This window comes from Homo sapiens, chromosome 12 (genome assembly GCF_000001405.40).
Source record: "Homo sapiens chromosome 12, GRCh38.p14 Primary Assembly".
NCBI classification, from domain to species: Eukaryota; Metazoa; Chordata; class Mammalia; order Primates; family Hominidae; genus Homo; species Homo sapiens.
Genome location: NC_000012.12, coordinates 118078981 through 118095879, shown reverse-complemented (window position 1 = coordinate 118095879; position 16899 = coordinate 118078981). Strand labels below are relative to the sequence as shown.

At 48.4% G+C, this 16899-nt stretch overlaps 1 protein-coding gene across 8 annotated transcripts in view, besides 1 other annotated feature; it reads left to right on the top strand.

The window, feature by feature from the left end:
* Window positions 1-16899, top strand: part of VSIG10 (V-set and immunoglobulin domain containing 10) — a 40419-nt gene that overhangs the window by 8132 nt on the left and 15388 nt on the right. For 5 of the 8 annotated variants that reach the window (XR_002957343.2, XR_002957342.2, XM_011538502.2 and 2 more), the window contains exons 2-4: window positions 66-347; window positions 13451-13753; window positions 16274-16534. Coding sequence is in view for 6 of the 8 variants with exons in the window: in XM_011538502.2 (XP_011536804.1) it covers window positions 66-347; window positions 13451-13753; window positions 16274-16534 (846 nt within the window). In the remaining 2 variants the exon portion in view is untranslated. Of the gene's footprint in view, window positions 1-65; window positions 348-4982; window positions 5055-13450; window positions 13758-16273; window positions 16535-16899 lie in introns of those variants that run through there. The other 3 variants (XM_005253908.5, XM_006719467.3, XM_006719468.2) reach the window with 3 other exon arrangements.
* Window positions 9971-10513: an enhancer, noted in NCBI's record as "H3K27ac-H3K4me1 hESC enhancer chr12:118523172-118523714 (GRCh37/hg19 assembly coordinates)". NCBI's record gives its function as "activates a minimal SCP1, AML or CMV promoter by ChIP-STARR-seq in primed H9 embryonic stem cells {active_cell/tissue: H9 hESC(primed)}" and the evidence as "EXISTENCE:reporter gene assay evidence [ECO:0000049][PMID:30033119]".

Below are 16899 nucleotides of genomic sequence, written 5' to 3'. Positions count from 1 at the left end.
GTCCAAAAAGGGACATTGTTTAGAAATTAAGAAGGGTAGTAACAGCCTGATCTTGCCTTGTACAGGATTGGAGGCTGTTGTCATTGGAGAAGTTCATGAGAATGTTACTCTGCACTGTGGCAACATCTCGGGACTGAGGGGCCAGGTGACCTGGTACCGGAACAACTCGGAGCCTGTCTTCCTTCTCTCGTCCAACTCTAGCCTCCGGCCAGCTGAGCCTCGCTTCTCTCTAGTGGATGCCACCTCCCTGCACATTGAATCGCTGAGCCTGGGAGATGAGGGAATCTACACCTGCCAGGAGATCCTGAATGTGACTCAGTGGTTCCAAGTGTGGCTGCAGGTGGCCAGTAAGTGGGGCTGGCAGGGACCGGGGCTGGAGAGGTGCTCGGAGCCTTGGAAAGGAGGAGACCATGGTCAGGAATATGGGTTTTGGGTTCGGATGGCCTGGAAATCATTCTGGGCCCTGCCACATGGAAGCTGAGGGACCTCTCACACCTCTATTTCCTCACCTGTAAAATGGAGATAAAAAGAATTTCTGTGGCCGGGCGCAGTGGCTCATGCCTGTAATCCCAGCACTTTGGCAGGCCAAGCCGGGCGGATCACTTGAAGTCAGGAGTTTGAGACCAGCCTGGCCAACGTGGTGAAACCCCATCTCTATTAAAAATACAAAAAATGCCGGCCGGGTGCGGTGGCTTACGCCTGTAATCCCAGCACTTTGGGAGGCCAAGGTGGGCGGGTCACAAGGTCGAGACATTGAGACCATCTTGGCTAACATGGTGAAACCCCATCTCTATTAAAAATATAAAAAATTAGCTGAGCGTGGTGGCGCGCACCTGTAGTCCCAGCTATTTGGGAATCTGAGGCAGGAGAATTGCTTGAACCTGGGAGGCGGAGGTTGCAGTGAGCCAAGATTGCGCCACTGCGCTCCATCCTGGCAACAGAGTGAGACTCCGTCTCAAAAAAAAAAAAAAAAAAATTCGCCAGGCATGGTGGCGCACGCCTGTAATCCCTCCTACTTGGGAGGCTGAGGCAGGAGAATTGCTTGAACCTGGGAGGCGGAGGTTGCAGTGAGCCAAGATCGCACTACTGCACTCCAGCTTGGGCGACAGAGCAAGACTCCGTCTCAGAAAAAAAAAAAAAAATTATTGCTTCTTAGAATTGCTGTGAAGAATAGATACCAGTTTATAAAGTGCGTTAGGCCAGGCATGGTGGCTCATGCCTGTAATTCCAGCACTTTGGGAGGTCAAGTGGGCAGATCACCCAAAGTCAGGAGTTCAAGACCAGCCTGGCCAACATGGTGAAACCCCATCTCTACTAAAAATACAAAAATTAGCCAGGCATTGTGGTGGGTGCCTGTAATACCAGCTACTCGGGAGGCTGAGGCAGGAGAATCGGTTAAACCCGGGTGGTGGAGGTTGTGGTGAGCCGAGATCGTGCCACTGCACTCCAGCCTGGGCAACAGAACTAGACTCCGTCTCAAAAAAAAAGAAAAATAAACAAATAAAGTGCTTTAAAAGGCTCCTGGCATATTAATAAGCTTTTATTTTTAGCTTGTTGTTAATATCATCTTTGCTATTAATATCATTTTATTATGTAACAAAGTTACAGTATATCATAATCAAAGCCAGGTGCGGTGGTGTGGGACTGTAGTCCCAGCTACTCAGGATTGCCTGGGTCCAGGAGCTCCAGGCTGCAGTGCACCATAATTGCACCTATCAATAGCCACTGCACTCCAGCCTGGGCAACACAGGGAGACCCTGCCTCTAAAAAAAACATATGGAGTCAAGTCAGACTGCCTGAATTCCAGGGCGAAGGCTGTCACTGAGTTCTGTGTCACCTTGAATAAGTAGCTTCATATCTCTGAGCTCCAGTTTTCCTCATTTGTTAATGGGGGATAATACATTGCCTGCTTTGTCAAGTGTAGCGAGCACTCTTATCTATTTTTATTTTATTTTATTATTATTATTTTTTGAGACGTAGTCTCACTCAGTCGCCCAGGCTGGAGTGCAGTGATGCAATCTCGGCTCACCACAACCTCTGCCTCCCGGGTTCAAGTGATTCTCCTGCCTCAGCCTCCCAAGTAGCTGGGATTACAGGCGCCTGCCAACTCTCCCGGCTAATTTTTGTATTTTTAGTGGAGATGGGGTTTCACCATGTTGCTCAGGCTGGTCTTGAACTCCTGACCTCGTGATCTGCCCACCTCGGCCTCCCAAAGTACTGGGATTACAAGCATGAGCCACCGTGTCCAGCTATAGTGAGCACTCTTATACTACGGTGCTAAGTACAGGGCTTGGCATGAGCCACCTTTCCTATTGCACTTTCCTAAAACAGTCTGTCATATCTGCTGATATACACATATGGATTTACAGCAGGCCGGGTGCTGTGGCTCATGCCTGTAATCCCAGCACTTTGGGAGGCTGAGGTGGGAGAATCATTTGAGCGAAGAGTTTGGAACCAGCTTGGTTAACATAGTGAGACCCCATATTTACAAAAAATTATTAAAAAAAGAATTTAGAGTGCGAGGTTGTAAACTACAGCCTGCTGTTGTATGGCCTGCAGATTATGAATTTTTTTTTTTTTTGAGATGGAGTCTCACTCTGTCGCCTAGGCTGGAGTGCAGTGGCGCAATCTCAGCTCACTGCAAGCTCCACCTCCCGGGTTGATGCCATTCTCCTGCCTCAGCCTCCCAAGTAGCTGGGACTGCAGGCGCCCGCCACCACACCCAGCTAATTTTTTTTTTTTTTTTGTATTTTTAGCAGAGACAGGGTTTCACTGTGTTAGCCAGGATGGTCTCGATCTCCTGACCTTGTGATCTGCCTGCCTCGGGCTCCCAAAGTGCTGGGATTACAGGCGTGAGCCACCATGCCCAGCCAATTATGAATATTTTTTATATTTTTAAATGGTTGGAAAAAAAAGGATATTTGTGACATGAAAATCATATGAAAGCCAGATGCAGTGGGTCACGTCGGTAATCCCAGCACTTTGGGAGGCTGAGGCGGACGGATGATTTGAGCCCAGGAGTTTGAGACCAGCCCTGGCAACATAGCAAGACCCCATTTCTACAAAAAGTGAAAAAACTAGCTGGGTGTGATGGCGTGTGCCTGTAGTTCCAGCTACTCAGGAGGCTGAGGTGGGAGGATTGCTTGAGCCCAGGGAGGTCGAGGCTGCAGTGAACTGTGATCACGCCACTGCATTCCAGCCTGGGTGACAGAGCAAGACCCTGTCTCAAAAAAAAAAAAAAGAAAAAGAAAATCATATGAAATGAAATTGAAATGTTGGTGTTCGTAAATAAAGTTTTATTGGAATATAGCCACATTCATTTATTTACATATTATCTCTACCTTTGTTACTAACTATGGCAGAGGTGAGTGGCTGTTAACATAGATCCTATGGGCTTCAAAGCCAAATTTATTTGCTCTCTGGCCCTTTACAGAGAGAGTTTGCTGGTCACTGGATTAGAAGGACATCCATGCTCTGGATTCAGGGCATGTAGTTTAGTAGACATACCCATGGGAGGCCAGGTACGGTGGCTCATGCCCATAATCCTAGCATTTTGGGAGGCTGAGACGGGATGATTGCTTGAGCCCAGGAGTCTGAGACCAGCCTAGGGAATGTAGTGAGACCCCATCTCTACAAAAAGTTTAGAAAATAGTAATTAGCTGGGCATGGTGTCATGCACCTGTAGTCCCAGCCATTCAGGAGGCCGAGTGGGGAGGATCGCTTGAGCTGGGAGACGGAGGTTGCAGTGAGCCAAGATGGTGCCACTGTACTCCACCCTGGGCTACAGAGTGAGATCCTGCCTCAAAATAAAAATAAAAAGAATAGGCTGGATGTGGTGGCTCACGCCTGTAATCGCAGCACTTTGGGAGGCCGAGGCGGGCAGATCACCTGAGGTCAGTTCAAGACCAGCCTGGCTAACATGGTGAAACCCCGTTTCTACAAAAAATACAAGAAATTAGCCAGGTGTGGTGGTGTGCACCTGTAATCCCAGCTACTCGGGAAGCTGAGGCAAGAGAATCGCTTCAACTTGGGAGACAGAGGTTGCAGCGAGCTGAGATTGCGCCATTGCACTCCAGCCTGGGCAACAAGAGTGAAACTCCGTCTCAAAAAAAGAAATGATAATAATAATAATAATAAAATAGGGAAATACCCATGTGATCACTGTTCTGGATCCAAGATTCCTCATCTGTAAAATAAAGAACCTACTAATTCCTTTATTCAACATAGATTCATTGAGAGCTTGATGCCAGACACTGTTCTAGGCACTGGACCACAGGTGTGAAGAAGGCAGACAAGGTCTCTGCCCTTGAGGAGTGAGCAGCCTAGTGGGGCACACAGATGAGAAACAAATTAATGTGATTTTTCTGAAACTTTTTTTTTTTTTTTTTGAGACAGAGTCTTGCTCTGTTGCCCAGGCTGGAGTGCAGTGGCACGATCTCAGCTCACTGCAAGGTCCACCTTCCGGGTTCACACCATTCTCCTGCCTCAGCCTCCCGAGTAGCTGGGACTACAGGCACCTGCCACCTCACCCGGCTAATTTTTTGTATTTTTAGTAGAGATGGGGTTTCACCATGTTAGCCAGGATGGTCTCGATCTCCTGACCTCGTGATCCGCCTGCCTCGACCTCCCAAAGTGTTGGGATTACAGGCGTGAGCCACCGTACCCAGCCCCTGAAACATTTTAACTTGGGAGGCCAGAGGGGAGATTTTGGAAGTAATGACTTTTTTGTTGTTGTTTGTTTGTTTGAGACAGATTCTCCCTCTGTCGTCCAGGCTGGAATACAGTGGCGCCACCTTGGCTCACTGCAACCTCTGCTTCCCGGGTTCAAGTGATTCTCATGCCTCAGCCACCTGAGTAGCTGGGATTACAGATGTGTGCCACCAAACCTGCTATTTTTTTGTATTTTCAGTAGAGATGGGGTTTTTCCATGTTGGCCAGGCGTGTCTCGAACTCTTGACCACAAGTGATCCACCCGCCTTGGTCCCCCAAAAAGCTGGGATTACAGACATGAACCACTGCATCTGGCCTGGAAGTAGTGACATTTAAACTGATTGGTAAGTAGGGCTGGGCACAGTGGCTCATCCCTGTAATCCCAGCACTTTGAGGGGCTGAGGTGGGAGGATCGCTTGAGCCCAGGAGATCAAAACTGCAGTAAGTCATGATCACACCACTGCACTCCATCCTGGGTGACAGAGAGACCCTGTCTCTGAAAAAATAAAAGGAGAAGAATTCTGCCAATTCTCTTTCCAGGCAGAACAGGACAGGTTGAGCTGAGTGTGGTGCATTCACAGATAGGGAGAAGGCCGGCGTGGCAGGGGCCTCGCCTCGTGTGTAAGAGGGCAGGCCGTGTGAAATATGGGAGGCCAGGCCAGACTGGGGCCAAGTAGGACCTGTGCTATGGATTGAATTATGTCCCCCAAAAAGATATGTGGAAGTCCTAACCTTTGGTATCTACGAATGTGAGCTTATTTGGAAATAGGGTCTTTGCAGATACAATCAAGTTAAGAAGACATCATTAGGGTGGGCACTAGCCCAGTTTGACTGACATCCTTAGTTTTTTATTTTTTATTTTTTTGAGATAGAGTCTTGCTCTGCCGCCCAGGCTGGAGTGCAGTGGCATGATCTCGGCTCACAACCACCTCCGCCCCCTGTGTTCAAGCGATTCTTCTGCCTCAGCCTCCCGGGTAGCTGGCTCGCACCACCATGCTCGGCCAATTTTTGTATTTTTCGTAGAAAGGGGTTTTCACCATGTTGGCCAGGCTGGTCTTGAACTCCTGACCCCAGGTGATCCGCCCGCCTCAGCCTCCCAAAGTGTGGGATTACAGGCGTGAGCCATTGTGCCTGGCTAGGAGTTGTGATTTTATTCTGTGTGCAGGAGAAACTCCGGGAGCTTCCAGCAGGGGTGTGGCACCATTTCATTTGCACATGGAAAATGTATGTGTTTGGTATCAAGAAGAGCTGATGAAATAAAACAGGGAAGGGAGAATTGAAGGTATACAGAGTCGGTGACCAGACAGGGTGGCGACAGTGGCCTTGGTGAAAATGCACAGGTTTGGAAAATATTTTGGAAGGAGACCAGCAGGACTCGCTGCTGGATCAGAAGTAGAGGATAAAGGAAAGAGAGGCTTCCAGGACACTTCTTGGTTTTGGGTGATGTCTAAGGTTTCTGCCAATTCTCAAAGATTAGGGCATCGTCCATTACAGCAGTGTTTCTGTGTCTGGAGAGGCCATAGATAAATTCCTGGGTGATGCCAGGAATGAAGGGGGTGCATTAAAAAATGTCACCCATCTTGGCCCCACTGTTTGGTTCCCACTGTGAGCCTACGGGCAAGTGCTGGCTGGTCTCCCTCAGTCCACCTGCCCAAAATAATTAGTCATCGCTTCCTGTCCATCTCATCAATGAATAACCTTATCTTTTATCCACAGTGGGGTAAGGCGACATTGCAACTTTTTGTTTCTTTATCATCACTCTCTTTAGTTTATGATGACTTGATCAGACACTGATTTGTTAATCATTGGCTAAGTTTATTGGAGGATGGATTAGTTTCATTATTGCCCTGTAGGGAGATAAAGGCAAGGTCTTGTTGCAATGAACGTGAACTTGCAACTTTAAAAATGTCACTGAACTCATGGCTGGGTGCAGTGGCTCATGCCTGTAATCCCAGCACTTTGGGAGGCTGAGGCGGGTGGATCACTTGAGGTCAGGAGTTTGAGACCAGCCTGGCCAACATGGTGAAACTCCATCTCTACTAAAAATACAAAACTTAATCAGGTGTGATGATGCACACCTGTGATCCCAGATGCGTGGGAGGCTGACACACAAGAAAAGCTTCAACCGGGGAGGGCGGAGGTTGCAGTGAGCCGAGATGGCACCACTGCACCCCAGCCTGGGTGACAGAACAAGAGTCTGTCTCATAAAAAAAAAAAAAAAAGAAAAAGGAATAAAAATGTCACTGAATTCCAGTGGCACTTTGTACTCCCTCCAGGGAAGTCCTGTGCATGTCTTAGTTACTGTGCTGTGATTCATAGTATGGAAATTTCTTCACGTGGAAATACATGGGGTCCTTGACTGATGTAGGGCTTGTTTGTGAAAACCAGACACAGATACCCTTTGATTCAAATACACCAGAGCCGTCTGGGGTTGGTCTCCTGGTTCTCATCTTAGGAGGTCCCTGGGCTAAACAGCAGACTCCTCTCTGCCTTGGAAGCCTGTGTTGCTCCCCGACAGTGGCCAGCGGGGAGGGCGTGACATCTCTGATTGGAGTTGGCCCTCATTTTTGCGTAGATTTAGGAAAATAGATTAGGTTTGATTCAGCCTCTTTCTGGGATGGCAGTGGTATTTCGGAGTGGTCCAGATGACTGGGTTCAAATCCACGTTCTATTAGCTGTTGTTGTCTGTGTGACCTTGGGAAAGTCCCTTGAACTCCAGTGTTAGTTTTATTGTCTGTGAAATTGAGGGTAACGGTGGAAGGAGTTACGGATTTGTGTTATGCATTAATGAGATAAACTCATGTAGCCCTCAGCACACTTGAACTGGATCCAGTGGTTAAGCCAGCGATGGGATTCCCGTGGGATAGTCCATCTCAAGTTCTCAACAATCAACCAGTTTATATCTGGGTCCTTTTTTTTTTTTTTTTTTCTGAGACACAGTCTCGCCCTGTCACCCAGGCTGGAGTGCAATGGCTCGGCTCACTGCAGCCTCCGCCTCCCGGGTTCAGGTGATTCTCCTGCCTTAGGTTCCCGAGTAGCTGGGATTACAGGCGTGCGCCACCACGCCTGGCTAATTTTTTGTATCTTTAGTAGAGACGGGGTTTCACCATGTTGGCCAGGCTGGTCTTGAACTCCTAACCTCGTGATCCACCCGCCTCGGCCTCCCAAAGTCCTGGGATTACAGGCATGAGCCACCGCGCCCAGCCTCATCTGGGTCTTTCGAACAGGTCTTGCTGTGGGTTAGGGACTCTTTGTGCCCAGATCTTTTCACTGATGTAGTTGCTAGCTGAGTCACATTACCTCCTTCTCTCTCTTTTTTTTTTTTTTTTTTTGAGACAGGATCTCACTCTGTCACCCAGGCTGGAGTGCAGTGGTGTGATTTCGGCTCACTACAGCCTTGAATTCCTAGGCTCAAGTGATTCTTTTATCTCACCGTCCTGAGTAGCTGAGACTAATAGTGTGTGCCACCACACTCGGCTAATTTTTTAGTTTTTTTGTAGAGACAAGGTCTCACTATATTGCCCAGGCTGGTTTTGAACTCCTGGGCTCAAGCAGTCTTCCCTCCTTGGCCTCCCAAAGTGCTGGGCTTACAGATATGAACCACCTCGCCCAGCCCCCTCCTTCTCTTAAGGAGAACAATTTGGAAACATTCTAACATGGCCTTGGAATCTAGGGGGAACAAATTCCAAGATATGACAGTTTGTTATCTGCAAGTGGCTGGGGATGTGTGAATGGACAGAGATGCTGTAGAAACATGGAAATGGAAGTAGGGAGGTTGCTAGATTTCTCCCTCCTTACCCCTTGGTCCTCTGCTTGTCCATCGGTGGGCATTTGGTGTCTCTGTCTTGTAGGAGGTCAGGTTTTCTGTAGGCCCGGGGCAATTCAACCTGCCTGGAATGGGCACCCGTGGTGTGATTTCATCACTCATCCCACAACAAGAGTATGCACTGCTCCCTGTTAATTGAAAGGTGAAGTTGAAGGGTCTTGCCATTAGGATTGAGACTCTGCTTCTAAATGTACAGAAATCCCTTGGTCCAGAGCAGTTAAGGGCTGCCAACGCCGTTTCTTTCTTTCTTTCTTTTTTTTTTTTTTCAATTTTTAAATTTAGGCTGGGAGTGGTGGCTCACGCCTGTAATCCCAGCGCTTTGGGAGACCAAGGTGGGCAGATCACCTGAGGTCGGAAGTTTGAAACCGCCTTGGCCAACATAGTGAAACCCCATTTCTATTAAAAATACAAAAAAATTAGCTGGGCGTGGTGACACACGCCTGTCATCTCAGCTACTCAGGAGGCTGATGTGGGAGAATCATTTGAACCCAGGAAGCGGAGTTTGCAGTGAGCTGAGTTTTCACCACTGCACTCCAGCCTGGGTGACAGAGTGAGACTCCATCTCAAAAAAATACATAAGTAAATAAATAAATTGATTAAACAAATATTTTTGCAGAGACAGGGCCTCATTATGTTGCTCAGGCTGGTCTTGAACTACTGGGTTCAAGCGATCCTCCCGTGTCAGCCTCCCACAATGCTGAGATTACAGGCAGGATCCATCTTACCCGGCCACACAGCTGTTTATTTCATCAATTGACCCATCCCTGCTACCTCCAAATTGGAGTGGGTATGATATTGGAACAGCCATGTGTTTACCTGCAGACAGGCTGGTCAGATAGGGAAGGTGTCACAGCCTTTCCCATATCCTGGTACACTTTTTTTTTTTGAGACGCAGTTTTACTTGGTCACCCACACTGGCATGATCTCGGCTCATGGCAGCCTCTGCCTCCTGGGTTCAAGCTATTCTCCTGCCCCAGCCTCCCAAGTAGCTGGGATTACAGGCACCCACTACCACGCCTGAATAATTTTTGTGTTTTTAGTAGGGACAGGGTTTTGTTTTGCCATATTGCCCAGGGTGGTCTTGAACTCCTGACCTCAAGTGATCCGCCTGCCTCCGCCTCCCAAAGTGCTGGGATTACAGAGGTGAGCCACCGTGCCCAGCTGACTTTGTGCTTTTTTTTTTTTGAGACAAAGTTTCGCTCTTGTTGCCCAGGCTGGAGTGCAGTGGTGCAATCTGAGCTCACTGCAACCTCTGCCTCCCGGGTTCAAGCGATTCTCCTGCCTCGCCTCCCAAGTAGGTGGTATTACACGCATTTGCCATCACGCCTGGCTAATTCTTTGTATTTTTAGAAAAGACAGGGTTTCACCATGTTGGCCAGGCTGGGTCTTGAACTCCTGACCTCAGGTGATCCACACGCCTTGGGCTCCCAAAGTGCTGGGATTACAGGCGTGAGCCATCATGCCTGGGCCCAACTTTTTTTTTTTTTTTTTGAGACGAAGTCTCGCTCTGTTGCCCAGGAGTGGTGTGATCTCGGCTCACTGCAACCTCTGCCTCCTGAGTTCAAATGATTCTCCTGCCTCAGCCTCCCAAGTAGCTGGGACTACAGGCGTGCATCACCACACCTGGCTAATTTTTGTATTTTTAGTAGAGGCAGGGTTTCACCATGTTGGCCAGGCTGTTCTTGAACTCCTGACCTCAGGTGATCCACCCGCCTCGGCCTCCCAAAATGCTGGGATTACAGGCATGAGCCATCATGCCCAGCCAACTTTGTGTTTTTCTTTTTCTTAAAGATATTGTCTCTTATATATGCATTTGAGGAGCTTAGCTATCGAGAGATAAATCAGCCCATGAAAGACCCCAGTCAGATTTCATGGCACACAGTGCCAGGCTCTCCCTGTGTCTGTTTTTCTCAGGCCAAACAAGTGTTTGGGGAACAATGGAACCAGCTCGCACGTGAGCAATGAGGAAGCTGGTCTGTGTCTACCTCCAAGAGGCTTAGGATTCAGTTGGGTTTGGGGGATGGGGACCTCCTCTCTAGCCAGTGATGTGGCCTTCAGTCCAAACTTCCAAGAAAGGGAATCTCAGAAAGATCCATGTTTCCTGGCTGATGGACCTGTCTGATATGGACCCACCAACAGCTCTTTGTCTGTGTTGGTGGTGGTGTCGCTATGTCTTCTCACAGTGTAGGCCCCTAGGGAAAGGGAATGCTGGGTACACCGAAGAAAACTTGTTTGTGCCTGGTCAGAAGGTGGGGTGATTCTTGCCCAAGGATTGATTAATTTAGGTCTTGCCAAGCTTATCTGTTTTTGTTTGTTTGTTTGTTCGAGACGGAGTCTCACTCTGTTGCCCAGGCTGGAGTGCAGTGGCGCGATCTCGGCTCACTGCAAGCTCCGCCTCCCGGGTTCACACCATTCTCCTGCCTCAGCCTCCAGAGTAGCTGGGACTACAGGCGCCCGCCACCATGCCTTGCTAATTTTTTGTATTTTTAGTAGAGACGGGGTTTCACCGTGTTAGCCAGGATGGTCTCGATCTCCTGACCTTGTTTAGGTGATTCTCTTGCTTCAGCCTCCTGAGTAGCTGGGATTACAGGCATGCTCTACCACGCCCAGCTGATTTTTGTATTTTTAGTAGAGATGGGGTTTCACCATGTTGGCCAGGTGGGTCTCAAACTCCTGACCTCAAGCGATCCACCCACCTCGGCCTCCCAAAGCGCTGGGATTACAGGATGAGCCACCGTGCCTGGCCTGCCAAGCTTATCTGTAGCAGAGATTGGTGCTTATAGGAGCCTGCAGATCTCTGGGATGGGCTCTTTGCGTGGCAGTCACTAGGGAGATCAAGAGAAAGTCGGTTGTTGATTTTGCCTATAAAGGTGATATCACAGTCTGTAAGTCTTCCCACAGACCTTATCCCATTGAAGAAGTACACATTAACTGATTAGCACAGACTGTGTGGTGCATTCTGAAGTCATTTTCGAATAAAATTCCTGGTCTAAAGAGTAAATAGCTGAAGATAAGGTAACTTTTCCTGTTAGCAAGGAATTCAAGATACTGAGATGTAAATGAACCTTTTGCAGCTCTTGACTGGCCAACCTATATTTGTGGTGGGTAAGGAAAGAAGTGAATTCTGATGTCAAAGAGGACAGCAAAGAACAGGAAGGCAGCAGCTGTAGATTGTTCTAGAACAGGATTTGGCAAAGCTTTTCCTTTTCTTTTTTTTCTTGAGATAGGGAGGGTCTCATTGTGTCACCCAGGCTGGAGTGTACTGGCACAATCACAGCTCACTGCAACCTCCACCTCCTGGGCTGAAGTGATCCTCCCACCTCAGCCTCCTGAATAGCTGGGACTACTTACCTGCACCACCACGCCTGGCAAATTCTTTGGTGTTTTTTGAGATGGGGTTTTGCCATGTTGCCCAGGCTGGTCTCGAACTCCTGGGCTCATGTGATCTTTTGCCTCATCTTCCCAAAATGCTAGGATTGCAGGCATGAGCCACCGTCCCTGGCCAGCAAAACTTTAAAAAATTTTTTTGGCCAGGTGTGGTGGCTCACACTTGTAATCCCAGCACTTTGGGAGGCCAAGGTGAGTGGATCATTTGAACCTGGGAGTCCAAGACCAGCCTGGGCAACATGGCAAAATCCTGTCTCTACTAAAAATACAAAAATTAGCTGGGTATGGTGGAATACGCTTGTAGTCCCAGCTGCTGGGGGCGCCTGGGACTATAGGCACATGATACCACACCTGGCTATTTATTTATTTATTTATTTTGAGATGAAGTCTCACTCTGTTGCCCAGGCTGGAGTGTAGTGGTGTGATCTTGGCTCACTGCAAACCTCTTCCTCCCAGGTTCAAGCAATTCTCGTGCCTCAGCCTCCCAAGTAGCTGGGATTACAGGTGTGTGCCACCACGCCCAACTAATTTTGGTATTTTTTGTAGAGACATGATTTAGTCATGTTAGCCAGGCTGGTCTCAAACTCCTGACCTCAAGTGATTTGCCTATCTTGGCCTCCCAAAGTGCTAGGAATTCAGGAATGAGCCACCGTGCTGGCCCTAATTTTTAAATTTTTTGTAGAGATTGGGTCTAGCTATGTTTCCTAGGTTGGTCTGGAACTCCTGGCCTCAAGTGATCCTCCTACCTCAGCCTCCCAAAATGCTAGGATTACAGTCATGAGCTACTGTGCCTAGCCCTTGCAGTGATTTTTTTTTTTTTTTTTTTTTTTTTTTTTTTTTTTGTGAGACGGAGACTTGCTGTGTTGCTTAGGCTGGAGTGCAGTGGCGCAATATCGGCTCCCTACAACATCCATCTCCCAGGTTCAAGTGATTCTCCTGCCTCAGCCTCCCTAGTAGCTGGGATTACAGGCATGCGCGACCACGCCCAGCTGATTTTTGTATTTTTAGTAGAGACAGGGTTTCGTCATGTTGGCCAGGCTGGTCTTGAACTTCTGACCTCAAGTGGTCCACCTGCCTTGGCCTCCTAAAGTGCTGGGAATTCAGGCATGAGCCACCGCGCTGGCCCTAATTTTTAATTTTTTTGTAGAAATGGGGTCTCACTATGTTTCCCAGGTTGGTCTGGAACTCCTGGCCTCAAGTGATCCTCCTTCCTCAGCCTCCCAAAGTGCTAGGATTACAGGCATGAGCTACTGTGCCTAGCCCTTACAGTTTTTTGTTTTTTAAAGGAGCAATGTATACTTTTGCTGTTCTGTAAAGATTTATCCCCCTAAAAAAGTCTCACATAGTCACCCAGGATTAAATGAAATAATGTATCAGGGCACTTGGCATAGCATTTGTCACCTAGTATTAGATAGATACCATACTCTTCATTGGCTATTTTCTGTTCATTTATATATTAGAGTTGGTAAGGCAATCGAATGAGCTCTTACATAATTAATGCCATCCTATTCCCCCTGTCATCCCCAGGCGGCCCCTATCAGATTGAGGTCCACATCGTGGCCACCGGCACACTCCCCAACGGCACCCTCTACGCAGCCAGGGGCTCCCAGGTGGACTTCAGCTGCAACAGCAGCTCCAGGCCACCACCCGTGGTTGAATGGTGGTTCCAGGCCCTGAATTCCAGCAGCGAGTCCTTTGGCCACAACCTGACAGTCAACTTTTTCTCACTGTTACTGATATCGCCAAACCTCCAAGGGAACTACACCTGTTTAGCCTTGAATCAGCTCAGCAAGAGACATCGAAAGGTGACCACCGAGCTCCTGGTCTACTGTGCGTAAGCAGCACTCCTCTGCCCCGCTTCTTCCCCTTAACCCTTTGTGAACTTATGAACTGCACGTTTGTGCCTCTCCCATTTGTCTTTTTTTTTTTTTTTTTTTTTAAGATGGAGTTTCCCTCTTCTTGCCCAGGCTGGAGTGCAAAGTTGCGATCTCACCTCGCCGCAATCTCCACCTCATGGGTTCAAGCGATTCTCCTGCCTCAGCCTCCCGAGGTAGCTGGGATTACAGGCATGGGCCACCACGCTCAGCTAATTTTGTATTTTTAGTAGAGACGGGGTTTCTCCATGTTGGTCAGGCTGGTCTTGAACTCCCGACCTCAGGTGATCCACCCGCCTTGGCTTCCCATAGTGCTGGGATTACAGGCGTGAGCCACTGCGCCCGGCCTCCCATTTGTCTTTAAGGGGGTGCCTGCTGCATGATTCTTCTGAACATGTATCTGTGGCTCCCTCAATACACACATCCAGGGCTGCTGCACTCAGGGAAGGAATCATCCCTTCTGGAAGCTTGCTGCTATGCAGGGGTGCAGGAGAGTGCTTGGGAACCACGGAAGAACACTAATGCATTCTTTTTTTTTTCTTTCCCCTAAATTGAGGTGAAAGTACGTAGGATTAACCATTTAGCAATGTACAATTGAATGGGCTCAGTGGCTCACACCTGTAATCCTAGCTACTTAGGCTGAGGCAGAGAATCCCTTGAACTTGGGACGCAGAGGTTGCAGTGAGCCAAGATGTGCCACTGCACTTCAGCCTGGGCGACAGGGCGAGACTCCGTCTCAAAAAAAAGTAAAAATAAAAATGTATAATTCAGTGGCATTCAGTGCATTTATGCAACCATCACCTGTATCAGGTTCCAAAACATTTTGTTTTTCTTTTTGAGACCGAGTCTCGCTCTGTCACCCAGGCTAGAGTGCAGTGGCGAGATCTCTGCTCACTGCAGCCTCCACCTTCCAGGTTCAAGCAATTCAGTTCTCACACCTCAGCCTCCAGAGTAGCTGGGACCACAGGCAGGTACCACCATGTCCGACTAATTTTTCTATTTTTAGTAGAGACAGGGTCTCCCCACGTTGCCCAGGCTAGCCTCAAACTCCTGAGCTCAAGTGATCTGCTCACCTCAGCCTCCTAAAGTACTGGGATTACAGGCATGAGCCACCATTCCTGGCCCTCCAAAACATTTTTGTTATCCCAGATAACCATTTTGTCATCCCAAATAACCCTGTACCCAATAAGCAGTCACCCTCATTCCCTCTTTTCCCCAGACCTGGACAACCCCCAATCCGCATTCTGTCCCTGTGGGTTTGCCTGTTCTGTACACTTCATATGAATGGCTCATACAATGTGGGGCTTTTTGTGTCTGGCTTCTTTCACCTGGCTTCATGTTTTTGAGGTTCGTCTATATTGAGGCATGTATCAGTAATCCATTCCTTTTAATGGCTGAATAATAGTCCGTTCCTTGCGTGGATGGACCACAATTTATTTGTTCATCCATCCATCTGTATACATTGTTTTTGTGGACCTGTGTGGCTGTCATAGGCACCGGGCCCTCTAGCACTGTTATGAACAAGTAGCGTGTGAATCTTTATCTCAGGAGTGGGGAAACACCAACCAAACACTCCCATACACAAATATCTTGGACGAAAACCACGGTAGAAATGCAGAGTGGGGCTGAGCGCGGTGGCTCACGTCTATAATTTCAGCGCTTTGGGAGGCCGAGGCAGGTGGATCATCTGAGGCCAGCAGTTCAGACCATCCTGGGCAACATGGCAAAACCCTGTCTCTATTTAAAAAAAAAATGAAAAAATAAATTAGGAATGCAAAAGTGAGGCTGGGCGCGGTAGCTCACGTCTGTAATCTCAGCACTTTGGGAGGCTGAGGCGGGTGGATCACCTGAGGCCAGGAGTTCCAGACCATCCTGGCCAACATGGCAAAACCCTGTCTCTATTAAAAAAAAAAAAGAAAAGAAAAAATAAATAAGAAATGCAAAAGCGAGGCGAGACGCAGTGGCTCACGCCTATAATCCCAACACTTTGGAAGGCTGAGGCAGGTGGATCACCTGAAGTCAGGCGTTCAAGAGCAGCCTGACCAACATGGCAAAACCTTGTCTCTACTAAAAATATAAAAATAAGCAGGGCGTGGTGGCGCATGCCTGTAATCCCAGCTACTTGGGAGGCTGAAGCAGGAGAATTGCTTGAACCTGGGAGGTCGAGGTTACAGTGAGCCGAGATTGCACCACTGCCCTCCAGCCTGGGCAACAAGAGTGAAACTCCATCTCAAAAACAAAGAAAGAAAGAAAGAAAGAAATGCAAAGGTGAATGAGACCCAGGTCGGAAATTTAACACCCAACAGAGGAAGCCTGACTGTTGTCAGGCATGAATTTGTGCTAGGAGCTATTAGATGCTAACACTAACTGGGGTTGATGTCCCTCTGAGACCCTGGTTCTGCCATCCTTAGAGCCAGTCCAGTGGCTGATCCTAGAGTCTGTGATTCAGCCCATGCTTTCCTCTGGTGTTTTGCAGATCCCCCTCCATCAGCTCCCCAGTGCTGGGCACAGATGGCATCAGGATCGTTCATGTTGCAGCTTACCTGTCGCTGGGATGGGGGATACCCTGACCCTGACTTCCTGTGGATAGAAGAGCCAGGAGGTGTAATCGTGGGGAAGTCAAAGCTGGGGGTGGAAATGCTGAGCGAGTCCCAGCTGTCGGATGGCAAGAAGTTCAAGTGTGTTACAAGCCACATAGTTGGGCCAGAGTCGGGCGCCAGCTGCATGGTGCAGATCAGTGAGTCTGTTTTGCTTTGTCTTGGGGTTGGAGTTTCCCTGCCTTCCTTTCTCCTAGGAGAAGCATTTGAGAGTTCTTCTGAGGAAGAAATCCCCGGATGTCAGGGTGGACTGAATTCCTTCCCTTTCTCCCTTTCTTTTTCTTTATGTTTCACTTTTTTCAAATTTTAGAGATGCTTAGCTCAAGCTTCTTCATTCTAGTCCCAGCTATTTTCCACTTGACAGATACTAATTGAACCCCTGCTATGTGCCAGGTACAGTTTCTACGTGCTGAGGATGGAGCAGTGAACAAGACATATGAGGTTCATCGTCTTTTGTGTCTGTCCATTTACTGTTGCTGTAAAGGAATACCTGAGGCTGGGTAGT